Raw genomic sequence first — 27950 nt, 5'->3', positions numbered from 1 at the left:
GAAATTAAGGTACTCTATGGAATTACATCATTTGACTTTTGTTTTGAAATGAAAAGTCTCACGTTTATTACTGAACACAGCCAACCAATGCGTTTATAACAAATTTACAGAGAAAAAACATATTCCCAATAAAACATGTCCAACTGTCCAGATAGTGGTGACATTTTCAGCTTGATATGGTAACGTGATTGTGATGCTCAGACAGCATAAATATGTGTGCCATCTCACATGCAATTCCTTATAGACCCAGCTTGGTTCTTCTCCAATGTCTCCTTTTGGAGTCGTACCTGATTTTATTACCAGTTTTGATCTGAATCCACAGGGGAGTGGGATGGTTTTGCTTTTGTTTCTTGGCCAGGAATCGCTTAATCCTGAAAGTCTTCTGAGAAGATGTGGCAAGAAGCAGAGTCAAGCACACACCACGATGGCAAAGAATGGAAGAGAAGGAACTTGACAATTTTTTTTTTTTTGAGATGGAGTTTTGCTCTTGTTGCTCAGGCTAGAGTGTAATGTTGCCATCTCAGTTCACTGCATCCTCCACCTCCTGGGTTCAAGAGATTCCCCTGCCTCAGCCTCCTGAGTAGCTGGGATTACAGGCGCATGCCACCATGCTGAGCTAATTTTTGTATTTTTACTAGAGATGGTGTTTCACCATGTTAACCAGGCTGTTCTCTAAATTCTGACTATGTTTCTGCTGTTTGCTGTCAGTCCTCTTCATTGCAGCATGAACAAGATTAATTTTTTTTTCTGTAAAAATGATGTGGAAGGTCTGCCTGCTGCTTCATGCATCACTGTCAACATTGTCTTGCCCTAACTCAAAATAAGTTATCCGTTTACAAACTGTTTATTTCTTTTGGGCATTGTCCCCATAACCTTTTTATAAAGCATCAATGATTTCATTATTCCTCTACCCAAACGTTACCACAAGTATTCTTTTTTTAAGACAGTATCTCTCTCCATCACCCATGCTGGAGTGCAGTGGCATGATCATAGCTCACTGCAATCTTGACCTCCCAGGTTCATGCCATCCTCCCTGCACAGACTTCACAATAACTGAGACGGCAGGCATGTGCCACCATGCCCAGCTAATTTTTGTATTTTTTGTAGAAAAGGGGATTTCCCCACGTTTCCCAGGCTGGTCTTGAATACCTGGGCTCATGTGGCCCACCTGTCTCAGCCTCTGAAAATGCTGGGATTACAGGCCTGAGCCACTGCATCTGGTCTCATCATAAATTTAATGTTTCTTCTTGTTTAAATTTCATCAGAATTTATATTGCTTTGATGGAGTCTCTTTTTATACTCATGTCTTATCCTTTTGAGGGCATCAAACTAGAGCCTGTTCAGACATGTTATAACAGACTAGCACTAGTTTATTTTGGTGCAAAAATTGTGAAATTCATGCACAATTTTCTCATAATATGTATTTTTCCAGAACTTCTTGAAGATCCCTTGTCCTAGAAAACTGTATTCAAGAGGATATTAAAAAAATGTAGATATTCAAGTGCCAGTTATTTCTGGGATGCAAGGATGGTTCAACATATTCAAGCAAATCAATGTTATATACCACTAGAACAGAATGAAAGATTAAAACCACATCACCTTAGTAGATGGAGAAAAAGCGTTCCACAAAATTCAAAATCCAGTCATCATAGAAATCCTAAACAAAATAGAAAAGGAAATTTACCTCAACAATAGAAAGAACATCCATGAAATGACAAATGAGTAAATAACCAAGCAGGGAAAATGGAATGCTTTCCTGTACGATCTCACATGATGCAAGAATGCTCTCACCCCTTCTATTCAATCAATACTGCCTGTCCTAGCCAGAGCAATTAAATAGCAAAAGAAATCAAACTCATCCAAATCAGAAAGAAAGAAGTAAAATTACATTTGTTTGTAGACGACATGACCTTCTGTGTAGAAAATCACAGACTCAACCAAAATAGTACTGGAACTAACAAACATATTCAGTGGATTTGCACAATACAGTATCAGCACCAAAAATTAGTTGAATTTCCATATTTTAATAATAAACAATTTTAAAAGAAAATTTTAACACACTTCCATTTGCTGGAGAACTTAAAATAAGAAATACTTAGGAATAAACGTAAAAAGGTGAGACGTTTGTACCTTGAAATCAACAAAAATTGATCAAAATGATTAAAAACATATATAGAGACACAACCCATATTGATGGTTTGGAAAAATTAATATGTTAAATGATTATATAACCCAATGTAATCTAGATTCAATACGATACCCATAAAAATCCCTATCAGTTTTTGTTAAAGAAACAAAAAACAGGCTGGGAAAAGTGGCTCAGGTCTGTTGTCCAGGCTGATCTCAAACTCCTGACCTCAAGTGATTTACCCACCTTGGCCTACCAAAGTGCTGGGATTACAGGCGTGAGCCATGCCACACAGCCCAGTCCTCTTAACATAAACACTTTAATGTCAATTAAGGCTTGAACTCAATGTTAAGTCAACTCAAACTCAAGTCAATGCTGAACTGACTCTAATGTCAATCAATGCTTGATGGTTTGCTATATTCATTGCATTGGGAACAATTACCTGAAAAATGAATTTTCTGATATTCTGCAAGGAGTGAAGTCGGACTGAAGACCTTGCCACACTGATGACATTTGTAAGATTTCTGTCCAGTATGGATTCTCTGATGTCTAATGAGGTGAGAATGTGAAGTAAAGGCTTTGCCACGATCATCACACTTGTGAGGTTTCTCTCCTGTATGAATTCTCCTGTTTTGCAAAAGATGAAGCTTGACTGAAGACCTTGCCACAATCATGACATTGTAAGATTTCTCTCCAGCATGAGTTCGCCAATGAACGGCAATGTATGAACGATGTCTGAAAAATTTGCCACAATTATTACATTTGTAAGATCTCTCTTCATTATGGCTTCTCCAGTGATTTACAATGGTTGTAGCATTACTGAAGACGTTGTGAGAATCATTACGTTAGTCAAGTTTCCCTACACTACGGATTGCCTGATGGTGAATAAGTGTTGACTGCCCACTAAAGGCTTTGACACACTCATTACACTTGTAAGGTTTCTCTCCAGTGTGAACTCTGGGATGTTGTGCCAGGTGTGAATCACGTCCGAAAGCCTTGTCAAAAACTCTTACATTTTTATGGTTTCTCTCCAGTATGAATTCTCCTGTCTTTCGAGGTTTGATTTGCGACTGTAAACTTTGTCACATTCTTCACATTTCTAAGGTTTCTCTCCAGTATGAATTCTATGATGACGTGCAACGTGTGCTTGTTGATTGAAAACCTCGCCACATTCATTACGCTTGTTTCTCTCCAGTATGAATTGTTTTATGAATTACAAGGACTGAATTGTGATGGAAGGTTTTGCCACACTCATTACACTTGTAAGGTTTCTCCCCAGTGTGAATTGTCTTATGAATTACAAGGACTGAATTGTGAGAGTAGGTCTTGCCACACTCATTACACTTGTAATGTTTCTCTCCAGTATGAGTTCTATGATGACGTGCAAGGTGTGCTTGTTGATTAAAAACCTCGCCACATTTATTACACTTGCAAGCGTTCTCTCCAGTATGAAGTCTATGATGACATGCAAGCTTTGCTTTGCGATTAAAAACCTTGCCACATTCATTACACTTGTAAGGTTTCTCTCCAGTATGAATTGCCTTATGAATTACAAGGGCCGAATTTTGACTGAACATCTTACCACACTCATTACACTTGTAAGGTTTCTCTCTAGTATGAATTCTCCTATGACTTTCAAGGTTTGATTTGAATCTGAAAGCTTTATCACATTCTTCACATTTGTAAGGTTTCTCTCCAGCATGAGTTCGCCCGTGAACTGCAAGGTATGAACGATGTCTGAAAAATTTGTCACATTTATCACACTTGTAAGGTCTCTCTTTATTATGGATTCTCCAATGATTTGCAATAGTTGTAGCATTACTGAAGACGTGGTGACAATCATTACATTTGTAAAGTTTCCCTCTGCCATGGATTGCTTGATGGTAAATAAGCGCTGACTGCCTATGAAAGGTTTTGCCACACTCATTGCACTTCTAAGGTTTCTCTCCAGTATGACGTCTATGATGGCATGTGTTAACTCCTTACTGAAGGTCTTGCCACACTCATTACACTTATAAGATTTATTTCCAGTATGAAGTCTATGATGGCGTGTAAGGCATGACTTCTGACTGAAGGTCTTGCCACACTCATTACACTTGTACGGTTTCTCTCCATTATGAATTCTCCTATGTCTTTCAAGATTTGATTTGTATCTGAAAGTTTCATCACATTCTTCACATTTGTAAGGTTTCTCTCCAGTATGAAGTCTATGATGGCATGTAAGGGATGATGTATGACTGAAGGTCTTGCCACACCTATTACACCTGTAAGGTTTCTCACCAGTGTGAATTCTCCTATGTCTTTCAAGGTTTGATTTGAAACTGAAAGCTTCATCACATTCTTCACATTTGTAAGGTTTCTCTCCACTATGAAATTTATGATGGTATACAATGGATGACGTATGACTGAAGATCTTGCCACAATCATTACACTTATAACATTTCTCTCCAGTATGAATTTTCTGACGTATTTCAAGATTTTATTTGAAACTGTAAGCCTTGTCACATTCTCCACACTTGCAAGGTTTCTCTCCACTATGAAGTCTACAATGGCAGGTAAGGGATAACTCCTGACTGAAGGTCTTGCCACACTCATTACATTTGTACAGTTTCTCTCCATTATGAATTCTCCTATGTCTTTCAAGACTTGATTTGAAACGGAAAGCTTCATCACATTCTTCACACTTGTAAGGTTTCTCTCCAGTATGAAGTCTACGATGGCATGTAAGGGTTGACATATGACTGAAGGTCTTGCCACAATCATTACACTTGTATGGTTTCTCTCCAGTATGAGTTATCCTATGACTTTCAAGGTTTGATTTGAAACTGAAAGCTTTGTCACATTCTTCACATTCGTAAGGTTTCTTTCCAGTATGAATGCTACGATGGCATGCAAGGTATGACTTCTGACTAAAGGTCTTGCCACACTCATTACACTTATGTGGTTTCTCTCCAGTATGAATTCTCCTATGTCTTTGAAGGGCTGAATTGTGTCTGAAAGCTTTGTCACATTCTTCACATTTGTAAGGTTTCTCTCCAGTATGAAGTCGATGATGATATGTAAGGGATGACATCTGACTGAAGGACTTGCCACACTCATTACACTTGTAAGGTTTCTCACCAGTGTGACATCTACGATGGCGTGCAAGGTATCGCTTCCGAATAAAGACCTTGTCACATACATCACATTTATATTGTTTCTCTCCTAGATGAATAATCTGATGTTTCCTTAAGAGTGAGCTATAATTAAAGGCTTTGCCACTCTCAATACATTGGAAAGATTTTTCTCTCATGCGTACTTCCTGTCTTTGTGTGAGTAATGAATAATTCAGAAAATTATCCCCATAGTTATTAGATATATGGGTTTTGGGCCTACAAGAAATTCTTTGGGCTGTTGAAACCGAGGAAGCATCGTTGATAGACTTCTCCACTTGATTATTAATTTTCCCTTTGGGCTGAAATATGTGGAGTTCAGACAGATGTGAATGAAAGCTTGATCCAAGCTGATATTTAATAGGCTTGTTTCCAGCATGCCTGTGATCATATTGCTCTGTACTACCCATCAATTTTTTGATTTTTGTCATGGGTGCTTCATGGCCATTTCTTTCATCTTCTTGCCACTGAAACTCAAAGTTATGAATATCTTTCTCAATTTCCTGGAAGGAAAAATCTCCAATGTGATGACGTTCATGTCTTTGCAATGTCCCTGTGTGGATCACTTCTGTATTGCCTTGTGCTGTTGATGAGAACTCCTTCATTGTGCATTTGGAAGAGATACCTACAAAATATAAACACTAATAGGTACACAAAAGACAATACTGATTTTAAACTTCCCAAACATGATCTTCAAAGTTTAGGAACACAAAATCGTAAGATTCTTTAATAAATAAAGGGCGATTACATGTGCTTCAAATTATTATTATGAAAGCTTATTTCCAATATCATGACAAAACACTGAAGGGCACAAACATGTGTAAGCCTAAAATAAGGAGTATTTTTCCACTGTGACCCTAAAGTGTCTAACAGTTTGCAAAAGACATATCACTGTCACATCAATGAAAAGTATATATTCTTCATATTTACAGCATACTTACTGTATACAAATAAATACTAAAGGACCACACAATATAATATACTGGTAAATAATCCACAGCAAGCTCATGTAAGGATAACCAAAATCAATGGAAATTCTGTATTGTTAAATAATCATAGCACTGAGAAGATAAGAAAAGTTTACAAAATTTAGCAAGGCATGGTGGTGCACGTCTGTACTCCCAGCTACTCGCAAGGGTGAGGTACAAGAATTGCTTGAACCCAAGAGGCAGAGGTTGCAGTGAGCCGAGATCGCACCACTGTACTTCAGCCTGGATGACAAAGTGAGACTCCATCTCAAAAAAAAAAAAATATTTTTCTGAATAACTGTCATAAAATTACCTATATCCATGCAGAAAAGGCATATTGTAACATTTAAAATTTTTTTTTTATTTTTGTATTTTTGAGACAATGTTTCACTGTGTCACAACAGGCTGGAGGGCAATGGCCTGATCTCAGCTCACTGCAACCTCCACCTTTTGGGTTCAAGCCATTCTCCTGCCTCAGCCTCCTGAGTACATGGGATTACAGGCACATGCCAGCATGCTTGGCTAATTTTTGTATTTTTAGTAGAGATAGGGTTACATCATATTGGCCAGGCTGGCCTTGAACTTTTGACCTCAAGTGATCCACCCGCCTCAGCCTCCCAAAGTCCTGGGATTGCAGGCGTGAGCCACAGCACCCGCTGGCACTTTGTGACATTAACTAGTAAACTGTGTCAGTTATATTGCATACCACATACCGAAAAGCTTTATGTAAAATCATAAAAATGAATTGGTAAAATAACTGTAACGCATAAAACCAGCAAGCAAATCATAAGTACATTTATACAAACTGCAGAATTCTAAACAATTCCCTGTTAAGAAAAAAGCACAACTTCTACTTACCACCAGCACACAATATAAGAACTGAAATACATGTTAAGATCACTACCTTCTGATGTATGAGGTCAAAAAAATATGCAGCATTATAATGAATAAGAATTCACTAACAGCCGGGTGCAGTGGCTCATGCCTGTAATTCCAGCACTTTGGGAGGCCGAGGTGGGAAGACCATGAGGTCAGGAGTTCAAGAATAGCCTGGCCAACGTGGTGAAACCATAACTCTACTAAAAATACAAAAAAATTAGCTGGGTGTGGTGGCGGGTGCCTGTAATCTCAGCTACTCAGAAGGCTGAGGCAAGAGAATCGTTTGAACCCAGGAGGTAGAGTTTGTGGTGAGCCAAGGTCCCACCACTGCACTCCAGCTTGAGTGACAGGGTGAGACTTCGTCTCTAAGAAAAAAAAAAAGAATTGACTAATAGTGCCGGAGGGTGCAATTATGATGTCACAACTACATTTATGAAACAGCCAGGCAATACAGCAATTCTATATATATATATACATTGCCCTATGTATCTAGTTCACTATGCATAAAATATAAAACATAGAATGTGTACTGGGAAAATTTATAAACTGAGATCAGAGAAAACATTGTATGAAACAAATTAAACAATAAAAACATAAATAAGATGATGCAGGCTCCCTGGTCTGAATGTTTGTATTGGCCAAACGCCATGTTCAGAGTTCTTATTCTCCAATAGGATGTTCCTGCAGATGGGGCCTTTGAGACAATTTGGTCACGGGTGTTGACTACTCGTGAATAGGACTTGTGCTTTCATAAAAAGAGACATTAAAGAGCTCGTTGCCTGTTCCTGTTTCCACCATGTCAGGACATGGCAGGAAGATGGCTGGGCTAAACCATGAGGAAGGCTCTCACCAGGAACCAATGTGGCTGGCACCTTGCTCTTGGATTTCCCACTTTCCAAACTCATGAGAAATAAATTTCTGTGTCTTAAGCCTCCCAGTTTAAGCTATTTCTTTTTTTGTTTGTTTTTGAGACCGAGTCACGCTCTATCACCCAGGCTGGAGTGTAGTGGCACGATTCTCCTGCCTCAAGAGATTCTCCCGCCTCAGCCTGTAGTCTCACTTTGGTGCCCAGACTGGAGTGCAGTGGTGTAACCTTGGCTCACTACAACCTCCACCTCCCGGGTTCAAGATTCTCCTTCCTCAGCCTCTCGAGTACTTGGGATAACAGCCATGTGCCACCACGCCCAGCTAATTCTTGTATTTTTAGTAGAGACAGGGTTTCACCATGTTGGTCAGGCTGGTCTCAAATTCCTTAACTCAGGTGATCCGCCCCTCTCGGCCTCCCAAAGTGCTGGGATTACAGGCTTGAGCCACTACACCTAGCCAATTTCTTGTATTTAGTAGATTCGAGGTTTCACCATGTTGGCCAGACTGGTCTCAAACTCCTGACTTCAAGCTATCTGCCCACCTCAGCATCCCAAACTGCTGGGATTAAGGCATGACCCACCTCAGCTGGCCAGTCTAAGCTATTTCTGACAGGACAGTGAAATGACTGAGACAGGAAAAGAAGCATCTCATGATTCACATCACTGAAGGCTGACAAATCTAATTAAACAAAGGAAGTTTAGGGCCTGTACTATAAATTTTGCAATACTTGAAGCCATCTAATAGCAATAACATGTTTTAAAAACTTTGAGGCCGGCTGAGTGAGGTGGTTCACACCTGTAATCCCAGCACTTTGGGAGGCTGAGGGAGGAGGATCATGAGGTCAGGAGATCGAGACCATTCTTGCTAACACAGTGAAACCCCGTCTCTACAAAAAACAAAAATACAAAAAATTAGCCTGGTGTGGTGGCACATGCCTGTAGTCCCAGCTACTTGGGAAACTGAGGCAGGAGAATCGCTTGAACCTGGGAGGCAGAGGTTGCAGTTAGCCAAGATTGTGCCACTGCACTCCAGCCTGAGTGACAGACCGAGACTCCATCTCAAAAAAAAAAAAAAAAGAAATGAAAGAAGCCTAAGAGTAACTCCAACCCACAAATATATATAAAATTCTCCAGTAAAGGTAAATAAAAAGACAGATAGGCCGGGCGCAGTTTTTCAAACCTGTAATTCCAGCAGATTAGGAGGCCGAGGTTGGCAGATCACCTGAGGGCGGGAGTTCAAGAAAAGCCTGACCAAAAAGGAGAAATCCCATGTCTATTAAAATACAAAATTAGCCAGGCATGGTGGCATATGCCTATAATCCCAGCTACTCGGGAAACTGAGGCAGGAGAATTGCTTGAACCCAGGAGTTGGAGGTTGCAGTGACCCGAGATTGTGCCATTGCACTCTAGCATGGGTGACAAGAACAAAACTTCGTCTCATTAATAAATAAATAAATAGGCAAATAAAAGGACAGATACAGAAACTGGTATATGTGTCCCTTCATAATTCAACTTTTTTTCCTATTATTTAGAAGAAAAAAGCATGAAAAAACACTGTACATATATGTTAATGAAAATGCAGCATACACAGAAATAATTCCGACATAAATAAAGTTCTGGTGGAGAAAGAGAAGCTTTTGCAGGTTGTGGAATCTTTTTTTCTTTGAGACAGAGTCTCACTGTGTTGCCCAGGCGGGAGTGCATGGCACAATCTCAGGTCACCACAACCTCCACCTCCAGGGTTCAAGTGACTCTCCTGCATTAGCCTCTTGAGTAGCAGGGATTACAGGCACCCACGACCGTGTCTGGCTAATTTTGTATTTTTAGTAGAGACGGAGTTTCACCACGTTAGACAGGCTGGTTTTGAACTCCTGACCTCAGGTGATTTGCCCACCCCCGGCCTTCCAAAGTGCTGGGATTACAGGCATGAGCCACTGGGGCACAAGAATTGTTTGAGCCCGAGATGTGGAGCCGGCTGCGGTGAGCCAAGATCGCCCCACTGCGCTGCAGCCTTGGCCACAGAGGGAGACTCCATCATAAACAAACAAACAAACAAAAGTAAAGAAGAAAGGAGTCAAAGCGTGTCTACACAGAAAAGCAATTAAACACAATAAGCAGGAAATGGAGAATGAAGAACAAAAAACAAACCTGAAAAAACAAAATAAGAACAAAATAACAACAAAAAAAATCAAGAAATACAGATAATATGTAACAAAAAGGCAATGGTAAGGTCTTCTGCATCAGTAATATTTCAAATGCAAATATTTAACTCTGCACTCAGAAGGCAAAGACTGACTCAATCAACAGGAACCAACTACTTGTTGTCCACAGAAGACTCATATTAGCCCTAAGGACACACATATGCAAAAAGTTTAAAAACAAAAGCCAATAGTTAGGTACGGGGGTTGGCGCCTGTAATCCCAGCTTCTTGGGAGGCCGAGGAGGATGTCTTGAGCCCAGGAGATCAAGACCAACTTCAACCGCACAGCAAGAACCTGTCTCTAAAAAAAGAAACTAAAAAAGTATCCTGGCATGGTGGCATGCACCTGTACCACTACGAGGGGAGGCTGAGGTGGGACAATCACTTGAGCCCAGGAATTCAAGATTGCAGTGAGCCATGATCACACCATTGCACCCCACCCTTGGGGACAGAGAGAGAGATACTCTATCTAAAAAAAGAGAAAATACAAAGATACGAAAGGACACATCCCCACTTCTGGAGGGAAGTTATCCTCACCCAGGGAGACCAGGTTCCTATAATTCTCCAGCATCACGTCCCTGTATAGAGTCCTCTGAGCAGGGTCCAGGCATTTCCACTCCTCCTGAGAGAATTCTATGGCCACATCCCTGAATGTCAATAGACCCTGAAATGAAAACACATTTTAACCAAATGGTTATGGGAGGAGTTCTTATCTTTACAGAAAATGAGAAGAGGAGAGAGGGGAAAGCATGGATTTAATTGCAGTGAATGTTCTGACAAATCCGAGTAAGGGGTTTTTCACTGCATTTTGTCTTCCCAGTTGTGTTTTGTTATACTTTTATTTTTTTTGAGACAGAGTCTCACTCTGTCACTCAGGCTGGAGTGCAATGGCATAGTCTCCGCTCACTGCAACCTCCACCTCCCAGGATCAAGCGATTCTCCTGCCTTAGCCTCCTGAGTAGTTGAAATTACAGGTGCATGCCACCACGCCAATTTAATTTTTGTATTTTTAGTAGAAACGGAGTTTCACCATACTGGCCAGGTTTGTCTCAGACTCCTGACCTCGTGATCTGCCTGATACAGTCTCTCAAAGTGCTGGAATTGCAGGCCCAATTCTGGGCCCTGCCTGGCGCAGAAACTTTTGTTGACACACTAAGTGACATTCAGTATCTAGATGAGACAGAGTATGAGTGATGTCTTCAGAGATTACAACGTCCACAGTGAAAGATCAGAAACTAAAATCCAGCCAGGCACGGTGGCACATGCCTGTTATCCCAGCTACCCAGGAGGGTGATGCAGAACTGCTTGATCCCAGTAGGCAGAAGTTGCAATGATCCAAAATTGCACCAATCCAGCCAGGGCAACAGAGACTCCATCTCAAAAAAAAAAAAATTAGCTGGGCATGGTGGCAGGCACCTGTGGTTCCAGCTACTTGGGAGCCTGACGGAGGAGGATGGCTTGAGCCTGAGGGTGGAGGTTACAGTGAGCTAAGATCACACCACTGTGCTCCAGCCTGGGCAACACAGTGAGACCCAGTCTCAAAATAAAAGAAAATACATGAAAACTAGATTACTCAAAGTAGGAAAATCCATTATATAGATATATTTGTCAACAAAATAATGAGACCTACACAGACTCACAAAAAAACTAGATGTTAATACAAAGGGTTGTCATTTTCCCCAGATTTTCAAAATGTAAAAGTTGTTCAAAATATATACATTTGTGTGTGTCTATACGTATGTATATGTATATGTGTGTGTGTATGTATATATAAATACAGGTTGTAAAAATATAAAATAGCAAGTTTTGTATAACTGAAGAGGAATCTCATCTTGCTGGAAAAGGACACTTTGGCGGTTGGGGGCAGGGAGGAATCTTGTCAGATCTAAGAAAACAGGAAATGCCCCATCCTAGAAGAAGCAATCACCCTTTCAACTGCCTGACCTGGAGGAAATTTCAGATATCTGTAGGAATGCAGGCACGTGCAGAGGCAGCCACTATGGCACTCTTTATACAGGGAAAAATCACAAAGGACCCACATGTTGTCATTCAGCTAATTTCCAACGCAGATGTCAAAGAGCAAGCTAGCCATGTTCACTAACATGACAACATGTAAATTCACAACTAGCAGGATGAAATATCAAGGTAAAATATTTCCTGGAACACAAAGAAGAAAACAAAACACACTGAGGTCTGCTTGAGAGTGGGGAGAGTGGGAGGAAGGAGAGGAGCAGAAAAAATAACTATTGGGGGCTGGGCAAGGAGGCTCACACCTGTAATCCCAGCTGTTTGGGAGGCCGAGGTGTGTGGATCATCTTAGGTCAGAAGTTCAAGATCAGCCTGGCTAACATGGTGAAACCCTATCTCTACTAAAAATACAAAAATTAGCCAGGTGTGGTAGCAGGCCCCAGTAATTTCAGCTACCCAGGAGGCTGAGGCAGGAGAATCGCTTGAGCTCGGGATGCAGAGGTTGCAGTTGGGCTTAATACCAGAGTGATGAAATAATTTGTACAACAAACCCTGATGACCCTAGTTTACCTATGTAACAAACCTGCACATGCAGCCCCAAACCTAAAGTAAAAACATAAATATAAAAACTATTTTTTTTTTTTTGAGACGAAGTCTTGCTCTGTGCCCAGGCTGGAGTGCAGTGGCACAATCTCATCTCACTGCAACCTCCGCTTCCCAGGTTCAAGTCATTCTCTTGCCTCAGCCTCCTGAGTAGCTGGGATTACAGGCATGCGCCACCATGCCTGGTTAATTTTTGTAAAAAAAAAATTTTGTAATTTACTGCAGAATTTTTCCGGAGTCTCATAACGATACAGAAATACATGAGTACCACACCTGACACCTGACACCGAACTGACAGTAGCGGCTCCCCAGTGAGGCTGGAAGGAGGGTGGAGGACACGACAGAGAAAAGAAGATGCTTTATGGCAAAGGGTATAAGCTGCAGCTTTGCTTGGAGTTTTACCACAAAACAAATATATTCATCATGTGATGTTTAAATATAAACATATATATTTAATAATAATTGATGGGGCTGGGCATGGTGGCTCATGCCTGTAATCTCAGCACTCCTGGAGGCTGAGGCAGGCAGATCACCTGAGGTTAAGAGTTTGAGACTAGCCTGGCCAACATGGTGATACTTGTCACTAATAAAAATACAACAAAATTAGCTTGGCATGGTGGTGCATGCCTATAATCTCAGCTACTGGGGAGGCTGAAGCAGGAGAATCGCTTGAACCTGGGAGGTGGAGGTTGCCATGAGCCAAGATCATGCCACTGCACTTCAGCCTGGGTGACAGAGAAAGACTTCTTATATTTAAAATATAATAATATTATCAGAATATCATAATAATAATAATTGTAACAGGTGGAATGAGAATATGGCTCCATCCTCTAGGATAAAAATGAAGTACTGCTCTCATATGTGAGAAAAGTTATAACCATTTTTACTGAAAACACCTGTTTCACAAGCCTCTCCACAGTAACACCACGGTCTCCATGAGCTTAATATGCTGCAAATGGATTAATGAATCTCCTGCTATTATTTAGGTTGATTTCATATTCTTAAAATAAAGATGGAATCAAACATCTTGTATCATTCATGTCTGTGTATGAACTTTCCATTCTAATTACTAAGATTTTGGAGTCAGAAACACAGCAACCCATTCAATTACCTAAAAATATAGTATAAAATCAGGCAGAAAGGATTTCCCAATATTGGTCTCCTTTTCTGGAATTTACCACGTACTTTGTGCACATTAGTGCGTGACTTCCAGTGGCAGCTGCTCTAATCCTGGTCCACAGAGAGCTGACAGTGCATCCAGATGTGGCCCCTGAACAATCCCTGCTGCCCAACAGCACTGACACCACGGGACCCTCACCCCGTCTCCATCCATGTCTGGTTGTGAGCCCTTCCCAAGACCATGCCCAGTGCAGCCTCTTCCCAAGTTCATGTCACTGAGCCACAAGAGATAAAATCTAAGTGAGATGAGAGGGACTGAGGGAAGGCATGGGTGAATGTGAGCAAACCTGTCAGGCAGGAAGCTTCAGACTTAGAAGATTCCCAACTCCAAGGTCAGCATTTCTGAAAGGAAGGAGACAGAACAATCCACTGAGAATATCGTCTCACCTGAGGAAGAGCCATCCCTGACTCCTCTGCTTTCCTTTTCCGGGTTTCTTCCTCATGTACCAAGAGTCTTTAGATGTCAATCCTGAGTGATAAAAATATGTTGTTTATTGCTCAGAATCAACACACACCCTCCCTGTAACACAATGACACATACAAAGGAGACCTCACCCTGATGAAATACAGTCCCCTCTACTGCCCTCCACACCAGGTACCAGGTACAATAAACTCCTACAGGAAAACTCCCACTCCCCTCCTGGGGAAGCCTACACACACGCTGCAGCAGTGGGGAGCTGGGCTGGAATGAGCTCTTCAGGGCACCGACCCAGACCTGACCAAACTTCATACAGAGGCTGGGTGCAGTGGCTCACAGCTGTCATCCCAGCACTGTGGGAGGCTGAGAGGGGTAGATCGCTTGAGCTCAGGAGTTTGAGACCAGCCTAGGCAACATGGTGAAACCCCATCTCTACCAAAAATATAAAAACTTAGCCAGGCATAGCGGTGCATGTCTGTGTGTCTGTGCTCCCAGCTACTTAGGAGGTTGAGGTGGGAGAATCACTTGAGCTCAGGAGTTCGAGACCAGCCTGGCCAACATAGTGAAACCCTGCCTTTACTAAAAATACAAAAATTGAGCCAGTCACAGTGGCTCACGCCTGTAATACTAGCACTCTGGAAGGCCAAGGTGGGTGGATTACTTGAGGTCAGAAGTCTGAGACCAGCATGGTCAACATGGTGAAACCTTGTCTCTATTAAAAATACAAAAAGTAACTGGGCTTGGTAGGTGTCTGTAATCCCAGTTACTCGGGAGACTGAGGCAGGAGAATCGCTTGAACCCTGGAGGTGGTGGTTGCAGTGAGCCGAGATCATGTCACTGCACTCCAGCCTGGGTGACAGAATGAGACTCAAAACTAAACTAAAAATAAAAATACAATAATTAGCTGAGTGTGGTGGCACACACCTGTAATCTCAGCTAATTGGGAGGCTGAGACACAAGAATCGCTTGAGCCCAGGAGACGTAGGTTGCAGTGAGCCAAGATCATGAGACTGCACTCACAGCCTGTGCGACAGAGTGAGACTCTGTCTAAAAAAAAAAAAAAAAAAGCGTTTCTGATGTGATTGATGCAGAGATAATAAAACCTGAGTCATGTGATAGAGACTGATGGGCAGAGGGAACTTCAGATGGGGTGGAGGGCATGGGAGACAGCTCTGAGCCTAGACCTGAACGCAGAGGAAAGGGACAGGGCTGTCATCATTTAGGGACATAGGTTAAGAGCAGGGACAACGACCTGAGACAGGAAAGGTTCTGATGTTTGGGAAAAGCGAAAAGCAAATGTGACTGGGGCAAAGGGAGTCATGAGATGAGGGCAAGCTCCCAGGAGGAGGCTGGACACTGGCAGGGGCCCTGGACACAGGGCTGTGGAGCCACAGTGAGGAGTTGGGCTTTTGTCCTGGGGAACACGGGAAGCCGGTGGAGGGTTCCCTGCCAGGGACTGACGTGACCTGCTTTAGATTTGGCTGTGATGTCCTCATACAGAGAAAGGCCCCGAAGATAGTCTCTGTGTCTGAGTCTGCAACTCTGTTTCTTCCATTCTTCTGCATTTTATTATTTTTTTTTCATTTTTGGGGTACTGCATCCCATTTAAAATTCTAATTACAACTGGGCACTCCCCTCTCCCAGAAGAAAAGCCACACCCAGACATGCATTCTATTTTGCCAACCATTTAAGGGGCCAGGGTCACTCGGGTTGAGCTTTTCTGGTCTAGCCCCTCATCTCCAAGTTGCAGGGAGGCTCACTGGGCTCAGAGCAGGGAAATTTTCACCAAGTTACCCTGAGAAGGTCTGAGATGAGTGAGAAGGTGTGCCTGTTCTTTTTTTTTTTTTTTTTTGACATGGAGTCTCGCTCTGTCTCCCAGGCTGGAGAGCAGTGGCAGGATCTCGGTGCAAACTCCGCTTCCCACGTTCACACCATTCTCCTGCCTCAGCCTTTCGAGTAGCTGGGACTACAGGCATCCACCCAACATCTGGCTAATTTTTTGTATTTTTAGTAGAGAAGGGGTTTCACCAAGTTAGCCAGGATAATCTCGATCTCCTGACCTCCTGATCTGCCCGCCTCAGCCTCCCAAAGTGCTAGGATTACAGGCGTGGGCCACCGCACCCAGCTACCTGAATTATTACATGGGGGCCTGGAAGAGCTAATGGAAGTGTTGGTCTTTATCACCCCTATCCTTGAAAATTAGAGAGGTATCTTTCACATATCTGGGCTAAAGAAACTTCTTGGCCGGGCGCGGTGGCTCACGCCTGTAATCCCAGCACTTTGGGAGGCCGAGGCGGGCGGATCACGAGGTCAGGAGATCGAGACCATCCTGGCTAACACGGTGAAACCCCACCTCTACTAAAAATACAAAAAATTAGCTGGGCGTGGTGGCGGGCGCCTGTAGTCCCAGCTACTGGGGAGGCTGAGGCAGGAGAATGGCGTGAACCCGGGAGGTGGAGCTTGCAGTGAGCCCAGATCGCGCCACTGCACTCCAGCCTGGGTGACAGCGAGACTCCGTCTCAAAAAAAAAAAAAAAAAAAAAAAAAAAAAGAAACTTCTTTTGCAAGGTTCTGTTGCCTTTGGTTCCCGACGTTTAATTCTTCCTTACAAGAAAATCACAGTAACATTTATAAAATGCAGAAGTGCGAACCCACAGCTATTGACCTTAAAAACAGTGAAAAGAAGGTCAGCTGTAGAACTAAGACATAAGCAAATTGTTTCCATCAAGAATACATGGGTGGCCGGGAACAATGGATCATGCTTGTAATCCCAGTACTTTAGGAGGTTAAGGCAGGTGGATCACCTGAGTTCAGGAGTTTGAGACCAACCTGGCCAACATGGTGAAACCCGTCTCTACTAAAAATACAAAAAATTAGCTGGGCATGGTGGTGGGTGCCTGAGAGGCTGAGGCAGGAGGATCACTTGAACCTGGGAGGTGGAGGTTGCAGTGGGCCAAGATTGTGCCATTGCACTCCAGCCTGGGCAACAAGAGCAAAACTCCAGCTCAAAAAAAAAAAGAACTTGTACATAGACAATCTACTCAATTTGTGACCAAGAAAATAACCAACCTTATGTATCTTATAACTCCAAGTTTTCACCTGGTGAATAGTTTAAAATTCATGCAAGGTCAAAAAAAAGTTCCCTTTTAAACCAAACCAAGGTCCTTCCCTTTTACCGAGGGCCTATTTCTCTGTATTTTGATGCTTGTCATCAGCAGACCTAGACTCATCTGTCTATGGTAACCTACCTATAAAAAGATACTATAGAAATGACTACAGATACGTATGCATGCCACCTTGTCCTTCTGAGACCCCAGAAAAAGATTCTCAGTATTGCATATCGTGGCACCCCAGCACACAACAAAGGACAATCATGCTTACCAAAATGCCGGTAAAACCAGATTGTGAAACAAAAATCTGTCATCCCGTAAATTTCACCATTCTAAAGCCAGACTTACCCGTGTGGACCGCAGGTTACCCCATTCATGTCTCCACACACACCTACCCAGCAACCTACCTATATGTTATCAAAAAAGGAACCCCGACCCTTCTGGCCCAGCAACAATTCCAAATCTTTAAATTATTCTACAAGCAGGTAGACCAGAAGTTACCAGAGCCTCCTCCTTTAGCTAAAAGCCTGTTTGCTTGGCTAGCTGAAAACATTGCTAGCAGCCTAAGCATTTCCTCATGTTATGTTTGTAGAAGGACTAACATAGGAGACCACTGGCCTTAAGAAGCAAAAGCGTTAATGCCACAAGATAATTTAACTCTAACTGACTCTTCCCCCAAAGCAATGCCCACAGTTTCAAGCCCCTAGCTCTTAAAAACTTCTATTATCAGGAGATACTGTGTTGCTCACTAAGGAAAAGCTTTTACAGAGTCACTAGAAGAATTAACTTGTTTAAGACAGCAATATTATAATAAAACACTAAAGAAAACTTTGTGGCAAGGCAAAGATGACTCCAGATCACCTCATCCAAACTCATTCTCCCGTTTCTCTTCTCTAAACCACACATAGTATCAGCTTGAAGCTCCAAATACCTGGCAAGCACCCTCTGGTCTCTATTAGAACTGTGTGCCACAGGCCTACTGACAGTTGCCAGCCAAATGGACAAGGGCTTGTGTACTTGAAACAATCAGACCATCTTTCTTCTAACTCCCATTGCAACAAGGAGAAATTTTAAGGTATCCTGTCTACAACAAAATTAAAGAAAAAAAACAAAAGAGATATAGACATAAGAAAAGACATAAAAATAGAAGATTAGAAAGATACAGACTGGCCCCCTGAAAGACTAATTCTGTACTCTAGGCCAGCTACCTGGGCACGAGATAAGTCATAAAGGTATCGCACCCCGATTTACACGCTTAACCACATCATAAATTTGCAAGCAGTACTTGAAATCATCACTAATGAAACTGGCCCAGTAAGCCATGAAAATGAGAAATGCCATCTACCAAAATAGATTAGCTTTAGACTACCTCCTAGCCTAGGAAGGAGGAGTATGTAGAAAGTTTAATCTAACTAATTGCTGCCTAGAAATCAATGACAACAGGAAGGCTGTTATAGAAATAACTGCAAGTATGAAAAAATTATCCCATGTTCCAGTCCAGACTTAGACAAAGTAGACTCCCGAGTCCCTCTTTAGAGGCTGGTTTTCCTCCTTCAGTCGATTCAAAACCTTAATAGGAGTAGTTCTAGAAATACTAAGAATTGGTTTAATACTCCCTTACCTCTTACCTCTCCTTGTTAAGAACATTTAATCAACTATAGAAGCAATTGTAACCAGGCAGACTACCACTCAGCTAATAGCTCTGTATAAATATCAGCCTGTGCCTAAAGAAGAAAACCTGCTCTTTCATGAAGAATCCAGTAATAGTGATGCTTTCTATTAAAATCTTGATAATAAAAAGCATCTAAGGGAAGAAACTGAAGCAGAAATTTAAAAAAAAAAATGTATTCATTCACTCCAAGAATAGTAACAGGCAAGGCAAGGGTTAAAAAGAAAAGAAGTTTTCCTCTGCCTAGCAAGCTCACTTCAAGAACAGTTATGAGACGCTGTTTGAGAAGTTGAAGCCAAAGGAATGAGCTCCTGACACCCCCACCTCCAGAACAAGGGTGAAGGAAAAAAAAAGGACAAACGTGTGTATTTAGCTGTTCTTGTTTTTCTTTCAATGCAGCTACAAGGCCACCAGCTATGGAAGGACACAAGTTATGCTATGCTATAGATTACGTGACCTATTATATGATTAACTGCTTCTACTCTGCTTCTGAAAGCAAAAAAAACCCACTCTGTGTTTGTTGAAATGCTCAGCTTTTTAGATGTAAATCTGCTGAGCCGCTGTGTACCTTAAATAAACATCCTCCTGTCTCCCCCATATCAGTCTCTCTAGTCCTCAGTTTCCCGCAACACCATCTCTGCGCCTCCTCTGCTCTCCCCGTTAAATTCTCTCTTCTCTGTTATACCCCCTGTCCCCACTCTCTGGCACCCCAGATCCCCAGGTGTCCTCCCTGCTGTGGTTCTCCCTCTGTTCTCTTTGCCACCAGCACCACTCTGCTCTGTCTGCCCTGGCTCCAAATCCCTCCTCCTCTCCCTCACCCTGATGAGCCTCCCTCTTTGCTGTCCCTCTCCCTACCTTGCTGTCCTTCATCTCTCTGTACATCTAGCTTTTCTCTACATTTCTCTAGTTGCTTTTCTCCTCCTGCTTATCTTTTTTTTTTTTTTTTTCACTTTTGCTGTCTCTTGGCAAATCCCTCACCCATCCTCTACTTTGCCATCTGTTATGGGCCTTTCTCATTCTTCTTTTCTCTGTCTCAGGTTTTCTACTGCTGTCTGTCTCCCGATCCCTTTGGCCCACACAATCACAGGAGGGTTTGGAGTAAGACGCCTGCATCCCGGAGGAGCTTATTTTCCAGGGGCTGGAACTGGGCAGGCAAGAACACCCCGTGTCACAGGACAGAACCCGGGCACCTCCCCTAACGCAGGCTCAGGGCAAGCTGTGACTGCGGATGGGAGACCTGGGGAGCAGCAGGGCCCGGCATGAGGAGGGACGTGGGGGGCGACGGCGCCTTAAGACAAGGGTGGGGTTTGTAGGATCCCAGGACAGGCAGAGAACTCGGCCTCCCCGGGACCGGAGCTGCGACGCTGCGCTCTAGGGGCCGACGAGGGCGAGGCTGGGAGGCGCCCAGGGCGGGAATTCACCTCTCGGGTGAGGACTTTAAAAAGCGCGGGGCGGGAGGAGTCAGAAAAAGGTTTAGAGCAGGAAAACTACGCGATAGAAAGTGTATATATTGCCCTATAGCAGAAAGATCCGGAACGGGACCAGCCTCAGGGAGACTTTAAACCCAAAAGGAAGTGACCCCCGGGCTCTCACGGGGACGTCTCAATTTGCTCTGGGCGAAGGAAGACGGGTGAGAATTTCCAGGTCTGTAGGGACCCCACGTCCCAGGGACAGAAGCGCCGGGGACCTGGGAAGAGCAGACTTCATACAAGATGGAGCGAAACTCACGCGCCGCTGAGGGACCTTCACTCCACGCGATCTGCTTCCGGGTTTGCGCGCGTCTGAGCGGGGAAGGACAGAAGCCAGGCCTGGGCGGGGCCTGCGAGGAGGTGGGCGGGGCCTGGGCCAGGTAGGGGTAGAGGCGGAGAGACCTTGCCCTTTAGTACCGGCAGAGGGCGGGGCGGGGCTGGGCTGGGGCGGGATCTGTGCGTCTCTCAGCCTCCCTCCCACCGCCTCTGTTTTTGGGTTTTGGAGGCGAGATGGCCAGGAAGGCCGATCCATGATTCAAAAGCCCTGGAATTGTCTGAAACGCGGATGCAAAGTAGAATGTGAAATGCAAAGCCCTGCTTGGGCAGAACTTACAATGTCATGCTGACGGCCCAGAGAATAGAATAGAAATCCTCTCCCTTTCTATTCTCCATTCACTCCGGAGGGAGAGTCCACCCTGTGCTCAGCTGCAGAGACTTCCCTAAAGCCACCGCCTGGGATGCTGGACGGAGTGCTCAGGCCAGCGAGGAGTGAGGTCACCACCTGCCGGATAAACACAGCAAGGATGCGGACGCGGGCGCGGGAGCCTGAGGTCCCATCTACTCAGGAAGCAGGGCGGGAGGATCGCTGAACCTGGGGGTCCAGGCCAGCCTGGGCGACAAAGTAACACCCCCTCCCGCAGGGCTCCCTTCCTCGTTTCTCTCTTTCTCTCTTTATTTTTCGTTGTTTTTTTTTTACGTTTTAAAATAAGAGGTTGATTGTATGAGATAGGGATCCAACATTGTTCTTTTCCATGTGGATATCCAGTTAGTTGTCCATTCCACATTTGTGGAAGAGATCTGTTACTTTCTTTTATGTATTTACTTATTTCTTTTCTTTTGTTTTGAGACAGAGTATTTCTCTGTCATCCAGGCTGCAGTGCAGTGGTGGGATCTCGACTCACTGCAAGCCTCTGCTTCCTGGGTTCAAGTGATTCCCCTGCCTCAGCCTGAAGGGGGCCTGCCCCTCCACACCTGCGGGTGTTTCTCATCAGGTGGAGATGAGAAACTGAGAAAAGAAATAAGACACAGAGACAAAGTATAGAGAAACAGCAGTGGGCCCAGACAACCGGAGCTCAGTGTGCGAGTACCCGCACCGGCGCTGGTCTCTGAGTTCCCTCAGTATTTATTGATCACTATTTTTACTATCTTTGTGAGGGGAGTGTGGCAGGGCAACAGGGTGATGGTGGCGAGAAGGTCAGCAGGGAAACGTGAGCAAAGGAATCTGTGTCATGAATAAGTTCAAGGAAAGGTACTGTGCCTGGATGTGCACGTAGGCTAGATTTATGTTTCTCTTCACACAAACATCTCAGTGTAGCAAAGAGTCACAGAGCAGTATTGCTGCCAGCATGTCTCACCTCCAACCACAGGGCGGTTTTCTCCTACCTCAGAATAGAATGAATGGTCGGCTTTACACCGAGGCATTCCATTCCCAGAAATGAGCAGGAGACAGAAGCCTTCCTCTTATCTTGACTGCAAAGAGGCCTCCCTCTTTCACTACTCCTCCTCAGCACAGACCCTTCACGGGTGTCGGGTTGGGGGATATAAGGTCTTTCTTTTCCCATGAGGCCATATCTCAGGCTGTCTCAGTGGGGGGAAACTTGGACAATACCCAGGCTTTCTAGGGCAGAGGTCCCTGCGGCTTTCCGCAGTGCATTGTGTCCCTGGTTAACAGAGAATGGAGAATGGCGATAACTTTTACCGGGCATACTGCCTGCAAACATATTGTTAACAAGGCACACCCTGCACAGCCCTAAATCCATTAAACCTTGATTCAATACAGCACATGTTTCTGTGAGCACAGGGTTGGGGCTAAAGTTACAGATTAACAGCATCGCAAAGCAGAACAATTTTTCTTAATACAGATCAAAATGGAGTTTCTTATGTCTTCCTTTTCTACATAGACACAGTAACAGTCTGATCTCTCTTTCTTTTCCCCACATTTCCCCCTTTTCTTTTTGACAAAACCACCATCGTCGTCATCACCCATTCTCAATGGTCGCTGTCTCTTCGGAGCTGCTGGGTACACCTGCAGACTAACAACAGACAGAACAGGAACACAAGGATTAATATGAAATTTACAATAGTGGAACTTGCGATGGTTTTAACCCAAGTGACCGGGTTAAGATTTGCGAGGCCATCAGCAGCTTTCGCGATTGCCTCAGTTCCTGGCACCAAATTTAAATGGGTTTTTGATGCCTCAAAAATTTTTCTTTTAATTTTGAAATGTCTAAAGTAAGATCATCTTCTCTTCCTTGTAGATGGCATCTAACCATGTCCCAATGATGCTCAGACTCATTATAGGCTTAGGATGTAATACAAAAATGTGACATATTCCAGTCACAGTGTAACCAGAAATGATGTTTCAAGCTCGTGAGCCTATCTCCCATCCAAACAACATTGTGTCTAAGGTCATTAATTTGATTTGCCAATTTTTGATCAATACCAGATTATGAATTCCACAATCTTGTAGAATTCTTTTGCCAATAATTAAAAAAGTTTACTGTCTGAGCAGAAGAGTACAATGAAACTCCTGCCACAGAGGCCGTAGCTGTGACTGCAATTAGTCCCATAATCACTGCAATTAAAGAATATTTTGGATCTATTTAAAATGGCTTTGAATACTTCAGTCAAAATATGGACGGATGGCGAGGCCTCCCACGGTCAGTCCATGGACACAGGGACCCACACGCCTTCTCTTGCTCTCACTAGCAGAATATGGTGCTGCCAATTAAAAGTCGAATCAATGCAAGTAAACAATCTGCAGTTTTCACAGGTTATAGTTTGGGAGTCTGGTTTAATAACTATATTTCCTACAACTAGCATATAAGGGGGCTTTATACAACTTTGCAAAGGAACTGTTAGACTGGAATTTAGGTCGATAGTATAAAATGGCTTGCGATCTCTTCTTTATATAGCTTGATTTCCAGATCAAATTCTAATGCAATATGAGGCCACAGTAAGCATCCATAATTGTGGATGTTCAGGACCAGAAACAAGACTTATTATTTTTAGTCTTGGAGTAGAGATTCCTTTTTCTCCCCATTCCAAAGGGTAGAAAGACTGTAATTTTTTGTGCTTATGTTTGTCTAAACTTTCTGTTAAGTCACTGTTAACAGCTGGACTCACTTGTGCACTGGGACATGACTGAGTTTGTCCTGTGCAATTGTGGTAGAATTGACCTCGACATGTCCAATCTATAATAGTTCCGAATTCATTGTTTTGTAATATCTCCGCACTATCGGCCACACATTCTTCCCAAACTAAAACTTCTGTGCCTTTTGATTCTTTGGGAATTACCTTGGGGCAAGGCTTTTGTTTAGGCCTAAATTGTAATGATCATTGATAAGAAAAGTCCTGTAAATAATTTACCTGTGGCCTGAGAGACATTCCACTTACCGTGTGATAAGTGAATCTACTGGTGGTACCGACAGTAGGTACTTCTACCAACCAATTTTGGATTGCAGGCATTAAACATGCTGGTGCTCTCCCTAGGCAAATAGGAGGATAACGATACCCAGTGGAAATATTTATCATCATTCCTTCTTCCTCAGGTTTGGCAGGGCAACGATCATCTGTGGGGCCAGGTACCCATGCACTATTATTAACATATACTTCAATAGGATTATCCATCCATGTGACTGCCCGAATTAAGGGCGGGAAAGGCACATAGGCCCAGTAGGTATAATTAGCTGCAGCTGCCCCTGCAGGCAAGGGGAGACTTACCACCGTTGATACAATCATCAAAGCTGCAAGCAGCGTGTTCTCTGGAGTTTGTGTCACCTTTGTGTTCTCTAGGCTTTTTTTTGGTAACTGTGTCAGCTTCTTTAATTGTGCCCAAGTCGGCGGCTCTGCTTTCTTGGTGGATGGCAACTTCATCTGTTCTTCTGACATCACCATTTTGTTCACCTTGTGAATCGATGGTGTTTGATTGTGGTGTTTCCATCTCCGTGGAGGTGCTTTTCTTTGCATCTCTGATGGGTTCATTGTAGAACTTTAAATGTCTAGTGGGTATCTAAACAGGAAGCTGATTTTCTCCTGGTGAAACACAAGCAAAACCTCTCCCCCAAGTTACCACCTTCCCTATTTCTCATGTCTTATTGTTGTTGTCTTTTTATCAAATCAGTTTTCCTTCATGTGGGCTGTTCTTTTGACCAGTAAGATGTTCTGCAGAGGTAGTAGTCTGATTTCTATACATGTTTAAAACATTTAAAGTATAGAATGCTAGATTAAGTTGCATCTGAGGAGTGGTACACTCCTTACTGTCTCCCCCTTCTCTTTAACTAATTGAGTTTTGAGTGTTCTATTAGTTTTTTTTAACTATGGCCTGTCCTTGAGAATTATAGGGAATTCCTGTTGTGTGTGTAATTTTCCACTGATTTAAGAATTTTTGGAAAGCTTTACTACAATATCCTGGTCCATTGTCAGTTTTGATTTTTTCTGGAACTCCCATGACAGCAAAACAAGACAATAAATGTTTTTTCACATGGGAAGTACTTTCTCCTGTCTGGCAAGTTGCCCACATGAAATGTGAATAAGTATCAACTGTTACACGGACACATCATAATCTTCCAAATGAAGGTACATGTGTGACATCCATTTGCCATAATGCATTAGGACACAGACCTCTGGGATTAACTCCTGCCTCTTGAGTGGGCAGGTGTAGGACTTGACACTGGGTACCATGTTGTAGAATATTTTTTGCCTGTTTCCATGTGACATCTGTGGGCGGCAAGCCACCCAGGCGCTGAGGCAAGAGAGCAAGGACACGAGCTGTTCCAGTATAATAAAATATAAAACAAGAATAGTTATACCAGATCTAGATCATAGACATGATTATATATGAATATCATTAATCATTAGTTTGTAGCAATTACTCTTTATTCCAATATTATAATAATCCTCGCTCTATAATCATAACCTAGGAAAAGCCAGGCCATACAGAGATAGGAGCTGAGGGGACACAGTGAGAAGTGACCAGAAGACAAGAGTGCGAGCCTTCTGTTATGCCCGGACAGGGCCACCAGAGGGCTCCTTGGTCTAGTGGTGACGCCAGCGTCTGGGAAGACGCCCGTTGCCAGGCGGACCGTGGTCTAGCGGTAGCATAAGTGTCAAGGGAAAACACCCGCTACTTAGCAGACTGGGGAAGGGAGTCTCCCTTTCCCCGGGGGAGTTTAGAGAAGACTCTGCTCCTCCACCTCTTGTGGAGGGCCTGACATCAGTCAGGCTCGCCCGCAGTTATCCGGAGGCCTAACCGTCTCCCTGTGATGCTGTGCTTCGGTGGTCATGCTCCTAGTCCGCCTTCATGTTCCATCCTGTACACCTGGCTCTGCCTTCTAGAAAGCAGTAGTAAATTAGTGAAAGTACTAAAAGTCTCTGATATGCAAAAATAATGGTGTAAGCTGTCTTTCTCTTTGTCTCCTCTCTCTCTCTGCCTCGGCTGCCAGGCAGGGAAGGGCCCCCTGTCCAGTGGACACGTGACCCACGTGACCTTACCTATCACTGGAGATGACTTACACGCTTTACCCTGCCCCTTTTGCTTTGTATCCAATAAATAACAGCGCAGCCCGACATTTGGGGCCACTACCGGTCTCCGTGCATTGGTGGTAGTGGTCCCCCGGGCCCAGCTGCCTTTTCTTTTATCTCTTTGTCTTGTGTCTTTATTTCTACACTCTCTCATCTCTGCACATGGGGAGAGACCCACCGACCCTATGGGGCTGGACCCTACAACATGAAATTTGTTTTTTAATCCTGCTGCATTTACATGAGTGAAAGCATGAAGTTCTTGTGCTTTTATGAATGCAGATGGTACCAGTAAGTCAGCTTGTTCATTTGCTTTAGTTAAAGGCCCTGGTAAATTAGTGTGTCCTCGAATATGAGTAACATAAAATGGGAAATTTCTTTTTTTTTTACAGTTTGTTGTAATAAATTGAACTGCTGGTTTAACTGATCATCTATGCTATATTTAATTAGAGCTGTCTCAACATCCTTTGTAGCCTGCACTACATATGCAGAATCTGATACAATATTAATAGGTTGATCAAAGTCTTGTAACACTGTAATGACTGCAACCAACTCTGCTCTTTGAGCCAATTGATATTGAGTTTTGATGACTCGCTCTTTTGGCCCTGTGTAAGCTGCTTTTCTATTGCTGGAACCATCAGTAAACACTGTCAGAGCATTTTCTAAAGGTTTATGTCTGGTAATTTTAGGTAGAATCCAAGTAGTCAATTTTAAAAACTGGAAGATTTTTGTTTTCGGGTAATGATTATCAATAATTCCCACAAAATTAGTAAGACCAATCTGCCATGCACCAGAATTGATAAAGGCTTGTCTAACCTGTTCCTTGTTTAAAGGAACAACTATTTTGTCTGGGTCATTTCCACACAATTTTACTATTCATAACCTTTTCTGACCAATTAATGTAGCTATTTGATCCACGTACAATGTAAAAGTCTTAATTGTACTGTGAGGAAGGAATGACCACTCCACAAGATCAGTATTTTGAACAATGATGCCTGTTGGAGAATGTGCAGTAGCAAAAATCAAAAGTTGGAGTGAGACTAAGGGATCTATTTATTTGTGCTGACTGAATTTTTTCTTCCACTAATTTAATTTCTTTTGTTGCCTCTGGGGTTAATATCCTTTTACTCAGTGGGGAGCTTCTAAGACTCATTGTCCAGGAGAAGGAATGTCACAAGGTAATGTCATCAGTTAAGGCAGGAACCGGTTATTTTCACTTTTTTGTGGATCTTCAGTTGCTTCAGGCCATCTGGATGTACACGTGCAGGTCACAGGGGATACGATGGCTTAGCTTGGGCTCAGAGGCCTGACAAGGAGTTCAAGACCAGCCTGGCCAAGATGGTGAAACCCTGTCTATACCAAAAACTACAAAAATTATCCAGGCACGGTGGCAGGTGCCTGTAGTCCTGGCTACTCAGGAGGCTGAGGCAGGAGAATTGCTTGAACCTGGGCTGCAGAGGTCATGGTGAGCCAAGATTGCGCCACCGCACTCTAGCCTGGGCGACAGAGTGAGACTCTGTCTCTGCAAAAAAAACCCCAAAAG

General features: G+C 43.2%; 1 protein-coding gene and 1 pseudogene across 5 annotated transcripts, besides 6 other annotated features; both read right to left on the bottom strand.

The window, feature by feature from the left end:
- On the bottom strand, positions 37-20922 carry ZNF525 (zinc finger protein 525). Of its 5 annotated transcripts, none has more exons than NR_145446.2 (5): positions 20733-20922; positions 15286-15408; positions 14331-14412; positions 10731-10857; positions 37-1657 (listed from the first exon to the last, which is right to left on the bottom strand). NR_145446.2 is itself a non-coding variant. In NM_001348156.2 (4 exons), exons 2-4 carry the CDS (start codon positions 14343-14345, stop codon positions 4608-4610), a joined length of 1440 nt encoding a protein of 479 aa, NP_001335085.1. In that variant the 5' UTR covers positions 14346-14412; positions 20868-20922; the 3' UTR covers positions 37-4607. The 5 variants fall into 5 exon arrangements, 2 of the variants coding, with proteins under 2 accessions (NP_001335085.1, NP_001335086.1); NR_145445.2 differs by lacking the exon at positions 15286-15408 and adding an exon at positions 2571-5905 and having other exon boundaries at positions 20868-20922; NR_145447.2 differs by lacking the exon at positions 15286-15408 and having other exon boundaries at positions 20868-20922.
- Positions 44-447, bottom strand: RPL39P35 (ribosomal protein L39 pseudogene 35; annotated as a pseudogene).
- Positions 11855-12425: an enhancer, noted in NCBI's record as "OCT4-NANOG hESC enhancer chr19:53877455-53878025 (GRCh37/hg19 assembly coordinates)". NCBI's record gives its function as "activates a minimal SCP1, AML or CMV promoter by ChIP-STARR-seq in naive and primed H9 embryonic stem cells {active_cell/tissue: H9 hESC(naive and primed)}" and the evidence as "EXISTENCE:reporter gene assay evidence [ECO:0000049][PMID:30033119]".
- Positions 16322-16821: an enhancer, noted in NCBI's record as "H3K4me1 hESC enhancer chr19:53873059-53873558 (GRCh37/hg19 assembly coordinates)". NCBI's record gives its function as "activates a minimal SCP1, AML or CMV promoter by ChIP-STARR-seq in naive H9 embryonic stem cells {active_cell/tissue: H9 hESC(naive)}" and the evidence as "EXISTENCE:reporter gene assay evidence [ECO:0000049][PMID:30033119]".
- Positions 16822-17323: an enhancer, noted in NCBI's record as "H3K4me1 hESC enhancer chr19:53872557-53873058 (GRCh37/hg19 assembly coordinates)". NCBI's record gives its function as "activates a minimal SCP1, AML or CMV promoter by ChIP-STARR-seq in naive H9 embryonic stem cells {active_cell/tissue: H9 hESC(naive)}" and the evidence as "EXISTENCE:reporter gene assay evidence [ECO:0000049][PMID:30033119]".
- Positions 20525-20584: a silencer, noted in NCBI's record as "silent region_11008". NCBI's record gives its function as "represses an Ori minimal core promoter by ATAC-STARR-seq in GM12878 lymphoblastoid cells {active_cell/tissue: GM12878}" and the evidence as "EXISTENCE:reporter gene assay evidence [ECO:0000049][PMID:35858748]".
- Positions 20625-20874: an enhancer, noted in NCBI's record as "active region_15066". NCBI's record gives its function as "activates an Ori minimal core promoter by ATAC-STARR-seq in GM12878 lymphoblastoid cells {active_cell/tissue: GM12878}" and the evidence as "EXISTENCE:reporter gene assay evidence [ECO:0000049][PMID:35858748]".
- Positions 20985-21034: a silencer, noted in NCBI's record as "silent region_11007". NCBI's record gives its function as "represses an Ori minimal core promoter by ATAC-STARR-seq in GM12878 lymphoblastoid cells {active_cell/tissue: GM12878}" and the evidence as "EXISTENCE:reporter gene assay evidence [ECO:0000049][PMID:35858748]".

Source organism: Homo sapiens, chromosome 19, assembly GCF_000001405.40.
Source record: "Homo sapiens chromosome 19, GRCh38.p14 Primary Assembly".
NCBI lineage: Eukaryota > Metazoa > Chordata > Mammalia > Primates > Hominidae > Homo > Homo sapiens.
Note: the sequence above shows the minus strand (reverse complement) of the source record. Positions and strands in the feature narration are given on the sequence as shown.

Excerpts from the sequence above, each read along its gene's own strand:
- ZNF525 (NM_001348156.2), bottom strand. Across the intron at positions 5,906-10,730 it reads TAGGAACCTGGTCTCCCTGG|GTATCTCTTCCAAATGCACA; the intron begins GTGAGGATAACT and ends TATATTTTGTAG.